This window comes from Homo sapiens, chromosome 8, assembly GCF_000001405.40.
Source record: "Homo sapiens chromosome 8, GRCh38.p14 Primary Assembly".
Classification (NCBI taxonomy): Eukaryota; Metazoa; Chordata; class Mammalia; order Primates; family Hominidae; genus Homo; species Homo sapiens.
In genome coordinates this window covers 86481180-86502435 of record NC_000008.11, presented here as the reverse complement: position 1 = coordinate 86502435, position 21256 = coordinate 86481180, and the positions used below count along the sequence as shown (strand labels likewise).

Genomic DNA, 21256 nt, shown 5'->3' with positions numbered 1-21256 from the left:
AAAGTGAGACCCCCATCTCTACAAAAATTCAAATGATTAGCTGGGTGTGTGATGCGTGCTTGTCCCAGCTACACAGGAGGCTGAGGCAGGAGGATCACTTGAGTCCAGGAGGTCAAGGTTGCAGTAAGCCATGATCTCACCACTGCACTCCAGCCTAGGCAACGGAGCAAGACCTTGTCTCAAAAAAAAAGACTTGCCAGTTAAAAAAAAATTAGTTAAACCAATTGTGAGCCAAAATTTCTGTATATTAGAGCAATATCATATGAAGAAATTAATGAGTGAAGCTTTTTTGTTTTTTACAATCCTCACTTTTTAATTATAAAGGAGAGGGTGATTGGGGAAAGAAGCAGAGATTTGATTTTGAATAGATGGTCTTATTCAACTTCTGATAGAAGAATTTGAGAACATGATCTAAAGATTGCTAGTTATCTATTGATTTCATTTATCTGTGATTATCTTTCCGTTAAAAAAGCAGATAATTGAGAAGCCCTGCACTGTTCTTTTTTTTTTTTTTTAAATGTATTTATGAAGAAGGACAAAGCAGAGAACTTGGTTTTGTTACTGGCTGAATGATTTATTTTGGCAAATACTTAAAATAATTCATCTTTTTAAAGCAACCTAGACTTTAATTCTCACAGCAGCCTTATAAAATAGTTAGGACAAGTCTTATTATCTTATCACATTATAATAATTTTTGAAAAGAAGTTCACAGAGTTAAACTTGAAAGTCAAAATGTTAGAGTGGAGATTAGAACTTATTTTTTTTTTGAGACAGGGTCTCACTCTGATGCTTAGGCCACAGTGGCATGATCACAACTCGCTGTAGCCTCTACCTCCCCGGGCCCGGGTGATTCTCCCACCTCAGCCTCACAAGTAGCTGAGACTACAGATGCACACCACCATGCCTGCCTAATTTTTGTATTTTTTGTAGAGACGAGGTTTCACCATGTTGTCTGGGCTGGTCTTGAACTCCTAGGCTCAAGCAATCCACCTGCCTCAGCCTCCCAAAGTGCTGAGATTACAGGCATTAGCCACGACACCCAGCTCCTTATCTCTATTTCTTCTTTGAATCTATCACATTTAGTTTCAGTGTATTTTGGTAGCATTATAGAAATGATTGTAAAGATGTAGTGCTTTCTGAAGTAACAAAATTCAGTACTTTGAAAGGGAAAACCAGAATTACTTTTGGCTTTATCATAGTCCATTTTTTTCTTGTTTATTTTTTTTCCAACTTTTATTTTAGATTCAGAGGGTACACGTGCAGGTTTGTCACGTGGGTAAATTATGTGTTGCTGGAATTCGGTGTACAAGTGATTTTGTCACCCAGGTAGTGAGCATTGTACCCAGTAGGTAGCTTTTTGACACTCGCCTACCTCCTGCCCTCCCCATTCTAGTAGGCCCCAGCGTCTATTGTTCTTGTCTTTGTGTCCATGTGTACTCAGTGTTTAGTGCCCAGTTAACAAGTGAAAACATGCAGTATTTGGTTTTCTGTTCCCATATTAATTTGCTTGGGATAATGGCCTGCAGCTGCATCCATGTTGCAGCAATGGATGTGATTTGGGTTTTTTTAAAAATGGCTTTATAGTATTCCATGGTGTGTATGTATCACATTTTCTTTATCCAGTTCACCATTGATGGGCATCTCAGTTGATTGCATGTGTTTGCTAATGTGAACAGTGCAGTGATGAACTTAAGGACGTGTGTGTCACTTTGGTAGAACAATTTGTTTTTCTTTGGGTATATTCTCAGTAGTGGGATTGGTGGATCAAGTAGTGGTTCTATTTTAAGTTTTTTTAAAGAAATCTCCAAACTGCTTTCTACGGTGGCTGAACTAATTTATATTCCCACCAGCAGTGTATAAGTATTCCCTTTTCTCCACAACCTCACCAGCATCTTTTTTTTTTTTAATTATTTTTTTTTGAAATTTTAAGAATAGCCATTCTAAGTGGTATGAGATGGTATCTCATTCTGGTTTTGATTTGCATTTCTGTGGTGATAGTGATGTGAAACATTTTTTCATGTTTATTGGCTGCTGCTTGTATGTCTTTTTTTGAGAAGTGTTCATGTCTTTTGCCCATTTTTTAGTGGGATTGTTTTTTGCTTGTTCAATTGTTTTAAGTTCCCTATAGATTCTGGATATTAGACCTTTGTCAGATGCATAGTTTGCAAATGTTTTCTTTCATTCAGTAGGTTGTCTGTTTAAGAAACCTGTCGATAGTTTCTTTTGCTATATAGAAGCTCTTTAGTTAGGTCCCATTTACCTATTTTTGTTTTTGTTAGAATTACTTTTGGAGACTTTGCCATGAAATCTTTGCCAGGGCCTATGTCCAGAATGGTGTTTCCTAGGTTTTCTTCTAGGTTTTTATAGTTGTAGGTCTTATATTTAAGTCTTTAATCCATTTTGAGTTGATTTTGTATATGGTGAAAGGGGTCTAGTTTCTATCTTCTGCATATGGCTAGGCAGTTATCCCAGCACCATTTATTGAATAGGGATTCTTTTCTCCATTGCTTGTTATGGTCAGCTTTTTTGAAGGTCAGATAGTTGTAGATGTGCAGCTTTATTTCTGAGTTCTCTAACCTGTTCCATGGCCTATGTGTCAGTTTTTGTACCAGTATAATGCCGTTTGGGTTACTGTCTCGTAGTATAGTTTGAAGTCAGGTAGTGTGATGCCTACAGCTTTGTTATTTTTGCTTAGGATCGCCTTGGCTATTTGGGCTCTTTTTTGGTTCCATACAAATTTTAGAGTAGTTTTTTGTAACTCTGTGAAAGATGATATTGGTAGTTTGACAGGAATAACAAATAAGAATCTGTAAATTGCTTTGGGCAGTAAGACCATTTTATCAATATTGATTCTTCCTGTCCATGAGCATGGAATGTTTTTCCATTTGTTTCTGTCATCTCTGATTTCCTTTTCATTGTGGTAAAACATCTAACTGTATTCCTAAGTATTTTATTATTTTTGTGGCTCTTATGAATGGGGTTGCGTTTTTTATTTGGCTCTCAGCTTGGGTGTTATTGGTGTATAGAAATGTACTGATTTTCATACATTGATTTTGTAACCTGCAAGTTTACTGAAGCTGTTTATTAGTTCCAGGAGCCTTTGAGCAGACTGTTTATGGGGTTTTCTAGGTAAAGAATCATATCATCTGTAAGGAGAGATGGTTTGAGTTCCTTTCTTTCTATTTGGATGCCTTTCCTTTCTTTCTCTTGACTGATTGCTTTGGCTAGGACTTCCAGTACTATATTTAAAAGGAGTGGTAAGAGTGGGCATCCTTGTCTTGTTCCATTTTTCAAGGAGAATGCTTCCAGCTTTTGCACATTCAGTTGTTGGCTGTGGGTTTGTCATAGATAGCTCTTATTATTTTGAGGTGCGTTCCTTCAGTGCTTAGTTTGTTGATGTTTTTTAAGGTAAAGCGATGTTGAATTTTATCAAAAGCCTTTTCTGTGTCTTTTGAGATGATCATGTGGTTTTTGTTTTGTTTTTAGTTCTGTTTCTGTGATGAATCCCATTTATTGATCTGCATGTTGAACCAACCTTGCATCTCAAGAATAAAGCCTACTTTTGTGGTGTATTATCTTTTCAATGTGCTGCTGGATTCAGTTTGCAAATACTTTTTTGAGGATTTTTATGTTTATATTCTTTTTTCTTTTTCTTAAGACAGGGTCTCACTCTGTCACCCATGCTGGAGTGCAGTAGTGCAATCTTGGCTCACTGCAACCTCCGCCTCCCAGGCTCAAGTGATCCTCCCACTTCCACCTCCTGAGTGGCTGGGGCTACAGTTGTATACCACTACGCCTGGGTAATTTTTTGTATTTTTTTGTAGAGTCGGGGTTTCTCCATGTTGCTCAGGGTGGTCTTAAACTCTTGAGCTCAAGCAATCGGTCCACCTCAGCTTCCCAAAGTGCTGGGATTACAGACATGAGCCACCATGCCCAGCCCATCTGCCTTCACCTGAGTTAATGACCTGAAGTTTTCCTTTTCCATTGTGTCTCTGACAAGTTTTGGTATGAGAATGATGCTGGCCTCATGGAATGAGTAGGCAGGAGTCCCTTCTCTTTGATTTTTTGGAATAATTTCAATAGGATTGGTACCAGCCCTTACTTGTGCATTAGGTTGAATTTGGCTATGACTCCATCTAGTCCAGGGCTTTTTCTGGTTGGTAGGTTTTTTTTTTTTACTACTGATTCAATTTTCGAACTTGTTATTGGACTATTACAAGGATTTCATTTCTTCCTGGTTCAATCTTGGGATGTTTCTAGGAATTTATCCATTTCTTCTGTGTTTTCTAGTTTGTATGCCTAGAGGTGTTTGTAATAGTCTCTGAGGATTTTTATTTTTGAGATGGAGTTTCACTCTTGTTGCCCAGACTGGAGTGCAATGGCACGATCTCGGCTCACTGCAGCCTCCACCTCCCGGGTTCAAGCGACTCTCATGCCTCAGCCTCCCGAGTAGCTGGGATCACAGGCATGCGCCACCACACCTCGCTAATTTTTTATATTTTCAGTAGAGACGGGATTTCTCCATGTTGGTCAGGCTGTCTCGAACTCCCCACTTCAGGTGATCTGCCTGCCTCAGCCTCCCAAAGTGCTGGGATTACAGGCATGAGCCACCGCACCTGGCCTGGTTTTTGTATTTCTCTGGTGTTAGTGTTAATATTCCCATTGTCATTCTGATTATGTTTATCTGGATCTTCTCTGTTTCTTTTTTTTTCTTTCTTTCTTTTTTTTTTTTTTTGAGATAGTGTCTTGCTCTGTTGCTCAGGCTGGAGTGCAGTGGTGCGATCTCAGCTCACTGCAGCCTCCGCCTCCCGAGTTCAAGCAATTCTCCTGCCTTGGCCTCCCAAGTAGCTGGGATTACAGGTGTGTGCCACCATGCCTGGCTAATTTTTGTATTTTTAGTGGAGACAGGGTTTCACCATGTTGGTCAGGCTGGTCTCGAACTCCTGACCTCATCATCCACCCACCTTGGCCTCCCAAAGTGCTAGGATTACAGGCATGTGCCACTGTGCCCAGCCTCTCTTTGTTTCTTGATTAATCCAGCTGGCAGTCTATAAATTTTGTTTATTCTTTTGAAGAACCAAGTTTTGGTTTCATTGATTTTTTTTGTATGGCTTTCACATCTCAATTTTGTTCAGTTCAGTTCAGCTCTTAATTTTGTTATTTTCTTCTGCTAGCTTTGGATTTGGTTTGCTCTTGTTTCTCTGCTTCCTCTAGATATTATGTTAGGTTGTCAATTTGAGATCTTTCTAACTTCTTGATACAGGCATTTAGCACCATAAACTTTCCTCTTAGCACTGCTTTAGCTGTGTCTCACAGATTCTGGGATGGTAAATCTTTGTTTTCATTAGTTTCAAAGAAGTCTTTGATTTCTGCTTTAATTTCATTGTTTACCCAGAAGTCATGCAGGAGCAAATTGTTTAATTTCCATGTAATTGTGTGGTTTTGAGAGATCTTGATATTGATTTCTATTTTTATTGAGCTGTGATCTGAGAGAGTGCTTGGTTTGATTTCAGTTTTTTTTTTTATTTTGTTCAGAATTGCTTTATGGCCAAGCATGTGGCCTATCTTAGAGTGTGTGCCGTGCTCAGGTGAGAAGAATGTACATTCTGTTGTTCTTGGGTAGGGTACCTTGTAGATGTCTGTTAATGTCCATTTGATTGTCAACTTTAGATCCTGAATATTTTTGTTAGTTTTCTGCCTTAATGATATGTGTAGCACTGTCAATGGAGTGTTGAAGTCTCTCAGTATTATGGTGTGGTTATCTAAGTCTCTTTGTAGGTCTCTAAGAACTTGTTTTATTAATCCGCGTGCTCCAATGCTAATTGTATATATATTTAGGATAGTTGTCTTCATGTTTAATTGAACTCTTTATCCTTGTGTAATGTTCTTCTTTGTCCTTTTTTATCATTGATGATTTAACATCTGTTTTCTCTGAAATAAGAATAGCAGCCCCTGCTCTTTTTTGTTTTCCATTTGCTTGATGTTTCTCCATTCCTTTTCTTTGAGCCTGTGGGCATCATTGCATGTGAGATGAGTCTCCTGAAGACAGCATACAATTGGGTTATGCATCTTTATCCAACTTGCCACTCTGTGTCATTTAAGTGGGGCATTTAGCCTGTATACATTCAAGGTCCATACTGATATGTGAGAATTTAATCCTGTCATCATGTGGTTAGCTAGTTATTATGTGAACTTGATTGTATAGTTGCTTTACAGTGTCGCTATGAACTTAAGTGTGTTTTTGTTGTGGCAAGTATTGGTCTTTCATTTCCATGTTTAGCACTCCTTTAAGGACCTCTTGTAAGGCAGATCTGATGGTAAGAAATTCCCTTAGCATTTGCTTTTCTGAAAAGGATTCTATTTCTCTTTTGCTTATAAAACTTAGTTTAGCTGGATATGAAATTCTTGGTTGGAATTTTTTTTTCTTTAAGGATGTTGAATATAGTCCCCTAGTCTCTTCTGGCTTATAAGGCTTCTGCTAAAAAGTCCACTGTTAACCTGATGGGATTCCCGTAGTAGGTGACCTCCTTCTCTCTAGCTGTCTTTAAGAGTTTTTCTTTCATATGGACCTTGGAGAATCTGATGACTATGTGTCTTGAGGATGGTTGTTTTATATACTATCTTGTAGGGGTTCTCTGCATTTCCTAAGTTTGCATGTTGTATGTGTGCATGCTGGCGAGGCAGTGGGCAGAGGCTCTGAGTGAGTGTGCACCTGTGGGGGTCCAGCTTCAAAAGTCCTCCCTTGGGAAGGTGGGGGCCACTGGCAAGTGTTTCACCAGGACAGCTGAGGCTGTGCTGCCTACGGGTGCGGCCAGGCAGGGACCCTGGGAGAGGCTGGCAGACAAGGATGTTCAGATGAGATAGGCCCCATTCCGTGCACAAGACAGCCCTGCTCTCTCCATGTCTGGCTGCTAATAAAGGCTAAGACCACCTAGAGGAGTATGGTGACCTTGGGGAATGGATACCCATGGCAATGCTGCACTGTAGCTGTTCCCATGCTAAACCCTCTGTTCTCCACAAAGACTAGAGTTCTCTCTCTGGCAGCTCTCCAGGTAGTTCTCCCTGCCATTTCAAATGTCTTGGAGGGGTCTTAGGGTCTCCTGCAGCTAGGATCTCTAAGGTCTGTGATGAGAGTGGGCCACTCCACACCAGTTTCACTTACCCTTTCCCTAGGAGCTTCTAGGTGCCAGGAATGAGTCTTGGTGCTTGGCAACCCCATGCAGGGTTCCCAGCTTCCTCCTTTTTCAGATTCAGGGTCTGTGTCCTCCCCATATCCACTCTCAATGTCTTCTTTCTGAGTATCTGTTCAGCATGTGCCAGTCTACTCGATGATGGTCTCTCTCAGTGGGAGAATGTCATGTCTTCCTGGCTGTGCCTAGTCAGCCATCTTGGCTCCTCTAGTTTTTCAAAAGTGTCTTGAGGACATAAAAAGTTACTACATATTTGTTTATTTTTATTTTTTGAGACAGAGTCTCGCTGTGTCACTGAGGGTAGAGTGTGGAGGTGCGATCTCAGCTCACTGCAACCACTGCCTCCTGGGTTCAAGTGATCCTCCCACCTCAGCCTCCCAAGTAGCTGGGATTACAGGCATGTGCCATGATGCCCAGGTAATTTTTGTATTTTTAGAAGAGATGGGGTTTTACCATGTTGGCTGGGCTGGTATTGAACCTCAAGTGATCCGCCCACCCCAAAGTCTGGAATTACAGGCATGAGCCACCACAGCCAGCTGATATTTGTTAAGTTAAAAATAACATTTTAAGGTCCTAGGCCTCTATGAGGCCTGCACAAGTTGGATGAGGCCTTCATAGCCGCAGTAGGGGAGGGTGAGGGAGTCAAATGATCACTGGTTTCTTTCACACTTCAAGAAGCTTTTGTTTTTTGAGACAGAGTCTCGCTCTGTCACCCAGGCTGAAGTGCAGTGGCATGATCACAGCTCATTGCAGCCTCGACCTCCTGGACTCAGGCAATCCTCCTGCCTCGGCCTCCCTAGTAGCTGGGACTACAGGCATGTGTCACCATGCCCAGCTAATTTTTGTATTTTTGGTAGAGACGGGGTTTTGCCATGTTGGCCAGGCTGGTCTTGAATTCCTTGCCTCAAGTGATCTGCCCACCCCGGCCTCCCAAAATGCTGGGATTACAGGCATGAGCCACTGCACCCGGCCTCAACAAGTTTTTATGCCACTTTCCAGCATTCTCTTTTCTACCTCTTAAGTGAGCTAAGCTGTGGAGTTCTGTAGTCTATTCCATTAGCAATTTCTAAATACGTAATACATTATTATTAACTATGGTTATCATGCTGTACAGCAGATCTCTAAACCTTATTCCTCCTGTCTAACTGAAACTTGGTACCATTTGACCAACATCACCCCATTCCCTCCTGCCACTCAACCCCAGCCTCTGGTAACCGCCATTCTACTCTCTACCTATGTGAGTTTGACTTTTTTAGATTCCACATATAAGTGAGATCATAGAGTGTAGGTATCCCTTATCCAAACTGCTTGGGACTAGAAGTGTTTCCGATTTTGGATTGTTTTGGATTTTGGAATATTTGCATATACCTAATGAGATGTCTTAGGAATGGGACCCAAGTCTAAACATAGAGTTTATTTATGTTGCATTTATATCTTATGCACATAACCTGAAGGTAATTTTATACAAGATTTTAAATAACTTTGTGCATGAAACAAAGTTTGTGTGCACTGAACAATCAAAAATAAAAGTGTCAGGTGTGGAATTTTCTACTTGTGGCATCATGTTGGCTCTCACAAAGTTTTGGATTTTGAAACATTTCAAATTCTGGATTTTCAGATTAGAGATGTTCAACCTATATTTGTCTTTCTGTACCTGGCTTATTTCACTTAACATCATGTCCTCCACTTCATATAATGTTCATCCACATTCTTACAAATGACACAATGACAGAATTTTCTTCTCTTTTAAAGCTAAATAATACTCCATTTGTGTATGTGTGCTACTTTTTTTGTTTAATCCATTCATCTATTAACGGGCACTTAGGTTGTTTCCTAAGGCGTGGCTATTGTGACTAATGCCTTAGTGAATGTGGCAGTACAAATATCTCTTTGACATACTGATTTCAGTTCCTTTGGATATACATCCAAAAGTGGGATTGCTGGATCATATAGTAGTTCCATTTTTAGTTTTTGAGGAACCTCCCTGTTGTATTCCATAATGCAATAGCTTTATTTTCTTAAAACAACAAAAAAATCACTTTATAATTAGTTGCTCGGCATGTTTATATAACTTGTGAGACTACAGACCATAGCCCTTGAAAAAAGATTAATTGAAAAATACAGAAACACTTTTTTTTATCCTGGAAAATGATCCATATGTTTCTATAAAAATATAACTTCGCTGGCCCTTAGAAGTTTTTCTTTGTCCTATATCTCTTCCATTTGCTGTTTTTTTTTTTTAAGGAATTGATCTTCAAATAATTCCATGCTTCAAAATTTCTGCTTAATTCTCTTTTGATCTGCTTTATGCTTATTCAAAGCCAATTTAAAAGCTCTTTCTTCCTCCATTTTCTGGAACTAAGTTATATTCTGAAGTGGGAGTTTTTTGGAAATGAGTTGAAGTTTAAGGGCATAAATATCATTGACATTTTAGTTGGATGGGATTATAGGATGACTTTTAAAATGGTTATATCTATATTTATCACCAGGTGGTACCAGATACCCACTTGTTAACAGGAACTGAAGCACTCCTGTGGGAACGTTTCATTATCTCTTTATTATTATTATTATTATTATTATTATTATTATTATTAAGGCGGAGTCTTGCTCTGTACCCCAGGCTAGAGTGCATTGGTGCGATCTCATTTCACTGCAACTTCTGCCTTCTGGGTTCCAGCGATTTCCCTGCATCAGTGTCTCAAGTAGCTGGGATCATAGGCACCTGCCACCATGACCGGCTGATTTTTGTATTTTCAGCAGAGATGGGGTTTCACCATGTTGGCCAGGATGGTCCTGAACTCCTAACCTCAGGTGATCCACCCGCCTTGGCCTCCCAAAGTGCTAGGATTGTAAGTGTGAGCCACCACGCCTGGCCTCATTACCTCCTTAAAATAGACAAAATTTAAAGCCCCAAGGTATGCTAATACATTCATAGTACTCTTTGTGCATATGAAAGCTCATGTGTAAAATGCTTAAAAGATAATCACAAGTGCCCAACTTAAAGGTTCTTTTTTATTTTTTAGTTTGTTTTTGTGTGTTTTTTAAAATTTCTTTTCTGTTTTTGTCACAGTCATTAAAGGTTCTTTATCACTTCACTTGTGTTTTCATATATATTTTCAAAATTCCTCTTTATTGATGAACCTACAGAACTGAGATCAGTGTTCCTTTGTATGTAGTTATTTGTTGTACTTCAGTGCATTTTTGGTTGCACTGTTGCTGGTACTGCTGAGACACAGTATTATTGGTATGAAAGAATTGCCTTAAACTTTGATGATGTTACTGCTACTTAGGGGCTTGAATCTAGATATTCAGATTTTCTACTTCTTAAGTCTTATATAGAGAAATCTCAGGAATATAGCTATTTATCTTGCCAGAGGAGTATTCTTGTCTTGACACTGCTCACATGGCTAGAGTACAGTCAGCTAGAAAAGTAAAAAATCAAAGTTTACTAACATATATGTAGGAGGTCACATCATTGGCATTTCTTTAAAAAATTCTAATTATTATGATCTTGCACATATCTATTTTAGGTTACATTTAAGATTTCACTATACAGTTTTAGGTGAATTAACATGTCATTTCATCTTAGAATATTTGCTTATTAAGTTGAAAATAATTTACATTAAAAGTTTAGTCTGTTTTATAGAATATGGTCTCTATGTTAGTAATGTAACTTAGTTGTAAATATTTTCAAGATAGTATAAAATGTTAGGTTAGAAAACAACTGATTTGCGGATATGTGGAGTTGTCTACAAGCTCTCACCCGAGTGCCTATGTCAGTCTGTAGTACCATAGGAAGTGTACTTTTTTCTTATAAATTGTACAGTGTTTGATTTTAGAAAAAATCATACACTGATTTTTTGCAGTGCAGACCACGAGGTCAAGACATCAAAGCCATCCTGGCCAACATGGTGAAACCCTGTCTCTACTAAAAATACAAAAAATTAGCTGGGCGTGGTGGTGCGCACCTGTAGTCTCAGCTACTCAGGAGGCTGAGGCAGGAGAATCGCTTGAACTTGGGAGGCAGAGGTTGCAGTGAGCCGACATAGTGCCGCTGCACTCCAGCCTGACGACAGAGTGAGACTCCATCTCAAATAAATAAATAAATAAATAAATTTATATATATATTTAAAGCCATTATATTATAGCTTATAGTATTTATGTAATTTGGAGCTAAGTTATTTGAGAGATTATAAAAGAATGCACACAAAAAAGATTTAGATTATTCACTAAATTTCTACTTTTTTTTTTAAAGATATGGTGTCTTGCCATCTTGCCCAAGCTGGTCTTGAACTTCTGGGGTCAAGTGATCCTTCCACCTCAGCCTCCCAAAGTGTTGGGAGTATAGGCGTGAGCTGCCATGCCTGGCTGACAATTTCTACATTTTTAATCGCATGAGTAATGTGATTTAGAATTCCTGGATCATGTTAAGGACAGTAATTAGTCTTTTTAGTAAGTCAGAGAATAATCAATGAATATATTTAAAAGTAACTTTTTTACTTATACATACTATGTACACATTCAAATATGCCAGATCAATATATTTAATATTAATTTTCTTTCACTGCTGTGACAAGCTCAGTGACTTAAACAACACAAATTTATTATCTTAGGGTTCTTTAGTTCTGTATCTTGCCGTTCAGAAGCCAAAAATGGGTCTGACTGGCTAAAATCAGCATTGGGAGAGCTGCATTCCAGAGACCCTAGGGAATATTCCCTTTCTTTGCTTTTTTCAGTGTCTGTAGGCTTTCTGCATTCTTTGGCTGAAGGTGTCTTCCTCCATGTTCAGAACCACCATCAAATCATCATTCTGATCTTGTTTCCATTGACACTCCTTCTCTGACTTTTGCCTTCCTCTTTCACTTTTCAGGACTCTTGTAATTATATTGGGCCTACCTGGGTAATCCAGGATAATTTCCTGTTTTAATATTAGCTGATTAGCAGCCTTAATTCTATCTACAGTTCACCGTTGACATGTAACCAAACATTCAGATTCCAGGGATTAAGATTGGGGCATCTTTGGGGGCCATTATTCTACCTACCATAAATATCAACTAAAGAATAAAGACTACTCCTTATCCTTTGGGTTGTTAAAACACAAACTTTGTGATTCAGCCACGTATCCGATAAAAATATAGAATAGAGTGGAAGCAAAATTTGAAAAATTAACCAGCCATATGAATATTATTAAACTTTATAACACCTAATCAGAATGAAGTGGGATTACTGAGAAAAATAATCTTTATTTAATTTTAGGGGTTTTTTTTGCCATTGTCATTTAATTTCTTAACTAGTATAATTATTACATTATGATGTTAACTTAAAAACACGATTGCATCACAAATTTCATTGTATTTTTCTTTTTGCTAATTTTTTAAAAACTAGAACTACCCCCATCCCCCCCCTTTTTTTTTTTGAGACAGAGTCTTGCTGTATCGCCCAGGCTGGAGTGCAGTGGAGCGATCATGGCTCACTGCAACCTCTGCTTCCCGGGTTCAAGCGATTCTTCTGCCTCAGCCTCCCAAGTAGCTGGGATTACAGGCGCACGCCATCACGCCCAGCTAATTTTTGTATTTTTAGTAGAGATGGGGTTTCACCATGTTGGCTAGGCTGGTCTCAATCTCCTGACGTGGTGGTCCTCCCACCTCAGCCTCCCAAAGTGCTAGGATTACAGATGTGAGCCACCGCACCCAGCCAAGAAACCCTTTTAACCTCAAGTATACTGTGATTAATTAAAGTATACCAAGTGTATACACATTGGAATCTTGGCTTAGGACTAAGTAGTACAGTACCCTTATAGAAGACAAAATTAAATGTACATGTTTCTGAATAATAATTGGAATTTCCCGAAATTCAGACTGTTTTTTTCATTAAGTAGACAGTTTTCTTAGGGCACTACACTGTCAATAATGTTTATGTATTTTGTAGTCATATATAAATTAGTTTTAAGAGTCAGTCAGAGCATAGTGTCAGTAAGTTCCAGATTTAGTGTGTAGTTAGCTTCATCTAAATTTCTGATGACAGCTCTGACCCTTTGAACAACATCTCTGTATAAAGAGAATTTATTAAAACAGTGTGGTTTGGTTCATGCAAATTACTAACATTCAGTGCTGTTTAAGTAGATGACTTTTATTTTCTACAATGGTTGGTAGTTAACAGCAGCAACAACAAAGACTGTGTAGAGCAAGCTTGTCCAACCTGCGGCCCCTAGGCCACATGGAGCCCAGGACAGCTTTGAATCTGGCCCAACACAGATAAGTAAACTTTCTTAAAATATTATGAGAGTTTTTGGAATTTTTTTAGCTCATCAGCTATCGTTAGTGTTATATTTATTGTTAGTGTTTCATATTTAGTCACTACCAGAGTAAGTTTTCTAATTTTTTATTTCCCATGATTTCAATAAATCATTTTTTATGATAGCATTATGCTTATTTCTACTTTGTTTCCATCTAGGTTCTTCCTAATTTCTGCTGTTTCATTGTAGGTCATTTCTGTATCTAATTTCATTTGCTTATATATAAAAGTGTTTAAGTTTCTTTGAATTATTGTCATCTGACTTGGGAAGACCTATTTTATTGTGTCTTTTTTCCTTTATAATCTTTGAAGTTGAAGAAATACTTGAACAAGCAGACTACCTGTATGAAAGCGGAGAAACAGAAAAACTTTATCAGTTGCTAACCCAATACAAGGAAAGGTAAGCAATGTAGGATAGGCCTAGGCTTGTGGTTTCCTCAAAATTTTTGTTATTTAACAATTAAAATGACCCTTAGTGCTTGAGGTTTTAAAAATTGATTATTGTAGTTTTTACTTCAAAATATTTCTTAGAGTTTAATTTATAATATACTATTTGTTTCTTACGTTAAATGCTGCATGTATCTCATTGATTTAGAAAAGGTGTTACTACTTTAGTGGAATGTTGAAATTTTTTTTGATTTTTCCATTTTGCTTTAGATGATACAAGATAGTTATTGAATATATGTTTATCCCTTCTAGCTATATTGTATATTTCTCATTGTTTTTCTTTTAAAGTAACTTTTTATTGGTATAGATTAAATGAATTCACTGAGATGTAGGATGTTGCATGCCACCATTGAGTGGTAACTGTGTATTACTTTAGAAGGATAGTCTTTCAGAGAAACCAAAAATACCCCCTTTTTCTATTTTTATTATTAGATTGTATGTTTAGTGTAGAATATCAGTGTGTACTCATTTTTGGGAGGAGTGTGGAGCGAGAGAAAGACTCAACCCTATGAAGTAAGTCATATGGCTAAATAGCATTTCTAGATCACTAATCTACCTCATCTCCTAAACTAAAAATATTGAGTCATTTTCATCTGCCTTTTTTAGATTTTCAAAACCAGTTTTCTCCCCAGGACCCATCAATTTTACTTTCTAAATATCTACAGGATTGATCTTTTCTTCTCCATTCTTCCCTTAGTAATTCAAGGTGGCTGGTTTGGCATTTTATTGTCATTTCATTGATAACTTGAAAAATAAGCTGTAAGGTAGTTACTCCATATTCATTGAATGATAACTATCTTAATTAAAGGAAGCTTTAGCTTCAAATTTTTTTTTATGTTAAAAAAATAAAGTTAGGATTAAAGGCAAACATTTAATAAAAAAGAATTTATTATTTATTTTATTTTATTTTATTTTTTTGAGACAGTTTTGCTCTTGTTGTCCAAGCTGGAGTGCAATGGCGCAATCTTGGCTCACTGCAACCTCTACCCTCCAGGTTCAAGCGATTCTTCTGGCTCAGCCTCCCGAGTAGCTGGGATTACAGACATGTGCCACCACACCCGGCTAATTTTGTATTTTTAGTACATGTTGATCAGGCTGGTTTTGAACTCCTGACCTCAGGTGATCTGCCCGCCTTGGCCTCCCAAAGTCCTGGGATTACAGGCGTGAGCCACTGTGCCTGGCGGAATTTAATTTTTACAATTATTTCTGTCAGTTGTGGTGGTTAATAATTTATTAACCATTTCTTATGTCATTATATGGAAATGGCAGTTCTTCAAAGAATCCAATGCTCTTACTTGAAGTAACCCATGCATCATGGCATGGTATTCAAACATAGGATTTATTTTGAGATTACATTATATTCAACCATTCATTCATTAGCAAATAATTGTCAAAAACAATTTTGTGTCAGGTGCTGTATTTGAGACTAGGGATTCAGCAGTTTTGTATTTTTAGAACATGACCCTGTCTATAAAATTTATGTATTTTATGATACTGTATGAACTACTGAGTGAGTTATTTGAAACACAGTGCCAGTGAGGCCAAACCTCAAGTTAATATGTTGAGTTTTGTAGGGCAAATGTTCAGAGAATTTGAATGCAAAGATATTTTTGAAAGAAGTATTTTAGATACTAGAGGTAAGTTAATATTTATGGATATTAGACATTTTTATAGGAAATTTTAGCAAGTAAAGGTTTTATATTAAAGAAAATAATAAATTTAGCATTATTACTAATGGCTTTTGATATCATGTTGCTAGCTTCCTAAGCTGAAAGACCATAATGTATTCATTAGTAATGTAACCCTTAACAATTTTTAAATGTGAGCTAAAATGGTTGTTTTATATTTTATTTCAAATTAGTGAAGATGCAGAGTTACTGTGGCGTTTGGCACGGGCATCACGTGATGTAGCTCAGCTTAGCAGAACCTCAGAAGAGGAGAAAAAGCTATTGGTGTATGAAGCCCTAGAGTATGCAAAAAGAGCACTAGAAAAAAATGAATCAAGTTTTGCATCTCATAAGGTGAGTTGCTTAACTAAGCTATTAACCATGTACTGAGAGGTACATTTTCTATATTTTTCTATTATCTCTGATTTACATTGGAAGAACAATTTCTCTATTTTAAGTTTTTTTTTCTTTTTATTCAATCTTATATCTTAAGGATAATTTCTCTATTTTAAAGAAGTAGGGAAGATAGTTATTTTTATAAGTTTTTCAAAAAGAAGTCTTTGTTTTTGTAAACATTTGGTCTAACTTCATATGTATTTGATAAATTACTTTTGTGAATGCTTATTTTTAAACAGGAGTTTAGTAATTTCATGAATTACCTATATCTATATTCTTAGTAGTATAAGCACTTCACAGATGTTTTCTCATTTTCCTTACGTTATATTTCTGTTTTATTTAGAGGTAGGAATATAACAGCTAGACAACTGAGACCTAGAATGACTTTTCACATGTAACTTAGCTGCTTTCAGGATTTCTTGTTGGTTCACAACAACGTTTTTCAGTAAATCGTACGGGGAGACGAGGTGGTCATTAGCCTTCTGGATTGTTGGACTTCATAGAACCCAAAGGCAGGGTGAAGTTGGACCTTGGGAAACAATTGGCTTGATTGCTCCGAGGCTTCATTAATTGTTTCTCTACTCTGCTGTTACCTGAAAATCTTTTTCATTGCAGACATTTTTTTTCTCCTTATCCTAAGTCTTGTGACTTTCCACAGCACCTGGGTTTTTGAAGTGTGGCTATTTTAGATTCATTTCTTGGGAAAGAAACTCAGGTCATCTCAGTTTGGGTCTGCCGTCCAACTGTGGCTGTGGAGACAAGGTCACAGTTGACATTGTGGCTGTTCTTACTATAACAATGCAATGTGAGAGTAGATGGAACTCCAAGAAAAGAGAATGAGAAAATAAAACATTCAATTACATATTCTTCTAAATTGATACTCAGACCATAAACATGAACCATTATCTCATTGTGTTGGTAACTTTCTTGGAAAATTCACCACTTTCTACCTTGTATTATAGTTCTCTATAAACATGTCCTATCCCTGAGGTTTTTTTGTTTTGTTTTGTTTTGTTTTAGACATAGTCTCATTCTGTTGTCCAGGCTGGAGTACAGTGGTGTGATCTTGGCTCACTGCAACCTCCATCTCCCGGGTTCAAGTGATTCTTCTGCCTCAGCCTCCCAAGTAGCTGGGATTACAGGCACATGCTACCATGCCCAGCTAATTTTTGTATTTTTAGTAGAGATAAGGTTTCACCATGTTGGCCAGGGCCTCAAACTCCTGACCTCAGGTGATCCATCCACCTCGGCCTCCCAAAGTACTGTTACAGGCGTGAGCCACTGCGCCCAACCCTATTCCTGAGTTTCTAGAGGGCCATGTCCACTTCTCTTTATATATTCCATTACATTTAATACAGTTTTTATGCTCAGTAACTTTTTGTTGGATGAGAATGACTATTGAAGAATATTATACAGTTTTACCTTGTATTGAATGGAATATTAAGAATATTATTGTTCTTACACTTTTTTAAATTTTCAGTGGTATGCAATCTGCCTTAGTGATGTTGGAGATTATGAAGGCATCAAGGCTAAAATTGCAAATGCATATATCATCAAGGAGCATTTTGAGGTACTGATGAATTATTCAAATTCATGAATTTTAAAAGTCATATTTTTCTGAATAGATTTTTGTTTTCATTATCTATTGCTGTATATCAAACCACCTATGATAACAGTGGAGTAGAGCCATGACAGTTTGTTATTTCTTTTTTTTTTTTTTTTTGAGACGGAGTTTCGCTCTTGTCATCCGGGCTAGAGTGCAATGGTGCTATCTCAGCTCACTACAACCTCCGCCTCCCGGGTTCAAGCAATTTTCCTGCCTCAGCCTCCCGAGTAGCTGGGATTACAGGGGCACACCACCACATCTGGCTAATTTTTGTGTTTTTAGTAGAGGTGTGGTTTCACCATTTTGGCCAGGCTGGTCTCAAACTCCTGACATCAGGTGATCCACCTGCCTCGGCCTTTCAAAGTGCTGGGATTATAGGTGTGAGCCACTGTGCCCAGCCGACAGTTTGTTATTTCTTGCAATTCTTTGGGTTAACTGAGCGCAGTGGCACTTCTACATTGCTTGGTATAGCTGGGGTCATTTAGACAGCTGCATTCACCTGGGCCCTCAGCTGAGACTACAGTGTCCAAGATGGCCTCTTACCTATGAGAGTTTCTCCTCACTTGTTTTTTTATCACTTAGTTGTCTAGCTCAACCTTCATTATAGCATGGTAGTCGGCTTCCAAGAATGAGTGTTCCATGGGAAAAGATCCAATGTACAAAGTTCTAGCAAGCCTCTGCTTGCATCACACTTGGTAATATCCTGTTAATCTAAACAAGTCACAAGGGCAAGCCCAGTTTCTGTGGGAGGGGAGCATTGACACAAGTTCCTGAATATGGAAAGCGTGGTCCAGTGTAACAGTCTTTAACACAATTGACACACCACTCCTTGTAGTAATAATTCTATTTAAGATTGATATCTGTGTGTATATTGTATGTGTGTTTTATTAAAAATATTTTCCCCTAAAGTTAATTATTTATAGTAAGCTGTTAGGTGCAAAGAATTGCATAGGAGTCTGTATATTTCTTAACATGGATGAACTTCATTGTCTCAAAAAAAAAAAAAAAAACTACCACAAAAATACCAGCATATTTATTTCTCTTTTGAGATTATAGGAAGGAAAAATGATGGAAACATACATAGGGATAGTGCTGAATTTGCTATTTAAATAGTTTTTCATAATTTTATGGTTTAGTGTCAATTCCTAGTTTATATAACAACTAGTGAAAAAGAATGACTGGGAGTCCAGAGACCTAGCTTTTCTTGTTCAGGTATGGATAGTAATATATACATAATAACTGACATTTTATAATGTAACAATTTACCTGTTTCACAGTTTAAAATCCTTGAAATGAGATTACATGATGTAATTGCTGGAACCTTACATTGTAGTTGGCAGTGATACTTTCTTTCTTAGTGGCACATAAACTAATGGTGTGTCATTTTTGATATTTTAGATTCAGGGAAATACAGTAATTTTCTCAGTGGCATTAGATAAATTGCTTAATTTCTCTGTGCCTCAGGATGTAGAAATACATGACATAACTTCCAAAGGGAATAATGAAGAACTGTAGAAAATACACAAATGTATACTTTCCATTTTTTTAAAAAACAGTGAAGGTTATAGATTATAAAAAACAATGTTTTATATAAGCTTTCAAATGTACATGTTTATATTTTAAATGGCAATATTTAGTATTTACATATAAAAAAGATCATTTATACTGCTTACATTTCAAATTCCATTATATATCTAAAGTGGTAACATCTTTGGATTATTTTTGAAAGACCAGTGGCAGGAAGGATTGATTATAAAAGAGTTTGCTTGAAAGTACCCCTCTCAACCCTTCTCATAAGAAAATTAAACCCTGGCCTGGGCGGCTGCCTCCACGATGCCACTGCTCATCGAGGGGCAGCGAGTGCGGCTGCCACAGTCCGCCGGGGACCTCGTCCGAGCCCACCTGCCTCTGGAGGAAACAGCCAGATGTATCAGAGGTCAGTCTGTTCAACAACTGGGACCCCAGGGCCTTCTGTATGTTCAGCAAAGAGAGCTCGCAGTGACCTCCCCAAAGGATGGCTCCGTCTCCATTTTGGGTTCTGATAATGCCACTACTTGTCACATTGGGGTCCTGTTGCACACAGGTTATGGCGCCACCTGCTTGACACATTGTGATGGAACCGACACCAAAGCTGGGGTCCCCTTGATCATGAACTCCATAAAGTCTTTTTCCGACTGCGCTCAATGTGGAAGCCTGGAAGTATACCTCGTGGGAGGCTTCAGTGATGTGGGAGGCAGTTGTCACAAAAACTCACTCATTAACTTCTTAGTGAATTTGACAGGCAAGAAGATGACATTCACTTAGTGATACTATGATTATGTGTGACAGAATTAAATGACCAGGAAGAAAACGAATAACACTTTCTAATAATATATGGCATTGCTGTCAACTTAAGACTGCAAAGATTTACAGAGCCTCCTTTCTTTTTTTTGTTTGAGACAGAGTCTCCTCTGTTGCCCAGGCTGGGGTGCAGTGGTGTGATCTCGGCTTACTGCAGCCTCTGCTTCCAGGGTTCAAGTGATTCTCCTGCCTCAGCCTCCCAAGTAGCTGGGATTACAGGCGCCCACTGCCACACCTGGCTAATTTTTATATTTTTAGTAGAGACAGCGTTTCACCATGTTGGCCAGGCTGGTCTCAAACTCCTGACCTCAAGTGATCTGCCCACCTCAGCCTCCCAAAATGCTGAGATTACAGGCATAAGCCACCGTGCCTGGCCTACAGAGCCTCCTTTCAAGATCGAGGTCCAGAGGAGCAGCTGCGTGCCGCGTGAGCTTTAGCAGGAGGACCAGTGATTAGCATTTACGATGCAAAGACAGAACAACTTCGTATAGGACTGTACTCCTGGACACCATTTCCACATGTGGATTTCTGCTTGCAGCAAGATGACAAGCAAATACTAGAGAATCTTTCCACTTCGTGTCTGGCCGAGCCACCCCACTTTGTTGAACATATTAGATCTACCTTGATGTTTTTAAAAAAAAATACTGCTCCAACTAACACACTGTTTCCTGGAAATAAAGCCCTACTCTACAAAAAAAATGAAGATGGCTTGTGGGAAAAGATCTCTTCTCCAGGAAGCTAAAAAAATAGGAATTACCAAAGAAAGCAGAACCTTCTTGGCCTGACAGAGACCATTGGTGGGGCCAGCAAGAATCCAAATTTGGAACCTACATCCATTGGGTCTTAGGTCTTCTCCTTCCTTCCTCAGTGTTTTTCAAATGACTTTCAAAATAAAACCTTATTTTGGCAAAGGCAAAAAAAAAAAAAAAAAAAAAGGAAAATTAATTAAACCCTGATCCCCCCAGGCATCCATTGTGATGAATTAACTTCCTTCCTATGCATCTAGAATGGGACTACAGTATTTCTGTATCATTCTTAGGAAATAGAAAAAAATAGTTACTTACACAATTTTTTTGTAGGGCTTAATTTTTAGTGGAACTCCCAATTGAGAAAGGTTGCTTAGAGCATAAGTTGCATATAAACATGTTAAGATACTTATTTATTTTTTACCACAACCTTATGAGTTAAGTACATGACTTTTCCATAAAAGAGAAAAAACTCAGTTGTGGTAAGAATATAGATCTTGCAACCAGTTCAAGGTCATTAAGCTGTGACTTGAATCCTGGCAGTCTGGTTTCAGAGACCATGCTCTTAAC

The 21256-nt window shown here is 38.0% G+C and overlaps 1 protein-coding gene and 1 pseudogene across 37 annotated transcripts in view; both read left to right on the top strand.

Moving 5' to 3' along the window:
• The window catches only part of RMDN1 (regulator of microtubule dynamics 1), a 46092-nt gene that overhangs the window by 11922 nt on the left and 12914 nt on the right, over positions 1–21256 (top strand). For 22 of the 37 annotated variants that reach the window (XR_007060734.1, XM_047421837.1, XM_047421829.1 and 19 more), the window contains exons 3-5: positions 13797–13884; positions 15793–15952; positions 17475–17564. Coding sequence is in view for 36 of the 37 variants with exons in the window: in XM_047421837.1 (XP_047277793.1) it covers positions 13797–13884; positions 15793–15952; positions 17475–17564 (338 nt within the window). In the remaining variant the exon portion in view is untranslated. The remainder of the gene's footprint in view (positions 1–13796; positions 13885–15792; positions 15953–17474; positions 17565–21256) is intronic. The other 15 variants (XM_047421832.1, XM_047421839.1, XM_047421830.1 and 12 more) reach the window with 1 other exon arrangement.
• Positions 19408–20851, top strand: NTAN1P2 (N-terminal asparagine amidase pseudogene 2; annotated as a pseudogene).